Source organism: Homo sapiens, chromosome 4 (genome assembly GCF_000001405.40).
Source record: "Homo sapiens chromosome 4, GRCh38.p14 Primary Assembly".
Lineage (NCBI taxonomy): Eukaryota > Metazoa > Chordata > Mammalia > Primates > Hominidae > Homo > Homo sapiens.
The window spans coordinates 183,580,884-183,583,377 of NC_000004.12; the positions used below are offsets into that span (position 1 = coordinate 183,580,884).

Sequence of the window (2,494 nt, forward strand, 5' to 3'; positions counted from 1 at the left end):
TTTGGCCTAAGGGACTTCTCTTAACATTTCTTATAGTGTAGGTCTACTGGTGATTAATTCTTTTGGTTTTGTATGTCTGAAAAAGTCTTTATTTTGATTTTGCTTTTGAAGACATTGTTACTGGATATAAAAATCTAAGTTGACAGTGTTTTTTGTTTTGTTTTGTCTTTTAGCACTATAAGGTTGCTTTGCCACTATCTTCTGGTTTATATTATTTCTAACAAGAAGTTTGCTCTCATTCTTATCTTTATTCCTCCATACCTGTATCTTCTTCCTGGTTGCTTTTTTTTTTTTTTCCTTTTTAGTAGTAGATTTAACAACTTGATTTTGATATGTTTTTATCATAGTCTTCTTTACATGTCTTGTGTTGGGATTTGTTAAATTTCTTAAACCTGTGGATTAATAGTTTGCATTAAATTTGGAAATGTTTTGGCTATTCTTTCTTCAAATATTTTTTATGATCCTCTGCTTCCTCTTCCCACCAGACTCCCGTTACACAATTACACATATATTAGACTAACTGAAGTTGTCCCATAGTTCACTTATATTTTATTCTTTTTTTCAGTCTTTTTTTCTCTCTGTGTGTTTTAGTTTGGACAGTTTGTACTGCTATATATTCACATTTACTAATCTTCAGCACTTTCTAATCTGTTATTAATTTTATCCGATATATTTTTTATTTTGGACATTTAGTTTTATTTCTAAAAGTTTTAATTGGGTCTCTAAAAATATTTCTCATGTCTCTTTTTAACATGGGCATACTTTTGTCTACCATCTTAAACTTTCAGGATATAGGTATAGTTACTATCTTAAAGTCCTCCTCCACTTATTCTATTGTCTCATTTCTGGGTCTGTTTATGTTAATTTTTCTGCCAATTAATTTTCATCCATTTCCCCAATATAACTCTTTTTTCTTGAGCATTTTTTTCTTTCTTTTTTTTTTTTTTTCCCTGTTGCCCAGGCTGGAGTGCAATAGCATGATCACGGCTCACTGCAGCCTCAACGTCCCGGGCTCAGGCAATTCTCCCACCTCAGCCTCTCAAGTAGCTGGGACTACAGGCACACATCACCATGCCCAGCTAATTCTTAAATTTTTTGTAGAATGAGGTCTTGCTATGTTGTCAGGGCTGGTCTCAAACTCCTGGGCTCAACTGATCCTCCCACCACAGCCTCCCAAAGTGCTGGGATTGTAGGTGTGAGCGACCATGCTGAGCCTTCTTGAATATTTTGAAAGAAATCTCCGACAACATGTGTCTCGTAAATATTTCAGTGTGCATGTCTAAGTGATAATTAGTAAAGATTTTTTTTTCACATTGGATGGATAATGTGGTGTTGATGTAGTAACAAGGTTTGAGGGAGGCTGATCTCACACTTTAACATGAAAACGAAATCATCACACTTATGAACCAAAAAAGAATGGTAAAGACTTTAAAAAACATCATCCCTTTGCTATTTATCACTTAAGAAAACTAATAACCATTCCTGAATATAATCTAACATTCAGATCGTATGTGAATTGCTCTACTTCATCTTAAAAATGCCTTTTTACAGATGATTTGTTTGACTCAGGATACAATGAGAATCACAAATTGGCTGCTATATCTCTAAGTCTCTTTTATTCTATAAGTCTCTTTTCAATATGCTATAGCATGTTAAAGAAAATGGGTCGTTTGTCTGCAGATCCCACAATCCACATTGGCTGATTGTTTCCTTGTGGTATCATTTGACTTGTGCTGCAAACCCTTGTATCCCCTGGAAATTGATAGTTGGGCCTAGAGGTCTAAGTGGTAGGCTCAGGCTGAATTTTACAGGCAAGAACCCTCCATATGAATGCTGCGCAATTTTGTGGCATCACATCATGTGGTACATTATGGCGCATTGTCCCATTTTTAGAAAGGCCGAGATTGATCAGTATGTGCTGGATGTGCCCCACTGATGCCTCCACTGGGAACTCCTACAACATCTCATCTCATGTTTTTGGCTTGCATCAGGGAAGAAAAACTTTATTTTATTTTTATTTTTATTTATTCTATTTATTCATTTATTTTTTTGAGATGGAGTTTTGCTCTTATTGCCCAGGCTGGAGTGCAATAGGGCAATCTCGGCTCACCACAACTTCTGCCTCCCGGGTTCAAACTATTCTCCTGCCTCAGCTTCCCAAGTAGCTGGGATTACAGGTGCACGCCACCACAGCCGGCTAATTTTTGTATTTTTAGTAGAGACAGGGTTTCTCCATGTTGATCAGGCTGGTCTCGAACTCCTGACCTCAGGTGATCTGCCCGTCTCGGCCTCCCAAAGTGCTAGTATTACAGGCTTGAGCCACTGCGCCTGGCCAAAGAAAAATGTTATACTCAGATTATGAAGATAGGCAGGGCCAGTATTTTTAGGCACACATCTGCTTAAGAGGTGGCTATGGGAACACTCTTGGCTCACGCTTAGGCAGCATCCCTGTCTCCATGGCTTCTCTGGTCATTCACCCATTTGCCTGCCTGTT

The 2,494-nt window shown here is 37.7% G+C and overlaps 1 non-coding gene across 1 annotated transcript; it reads right to left on the bottom strand.

Annotated features, from left to right (window-relative positions):
- Positions 1-1,311: 1,311 nt before the first annotated feature.
- On the bottom strand, positions 1,312-1,418 carry LOC124900911 (small nucleolar RNA U13). The gene has a single exon (XR_007058553.1). It is a non-coding gene; the product is annotated as a small nucleolar RNA U13 (small nucleolar RNA).
- Between the last annotated feature and the right edge of the window lie 1,076 nt (positions 1,419-2,494).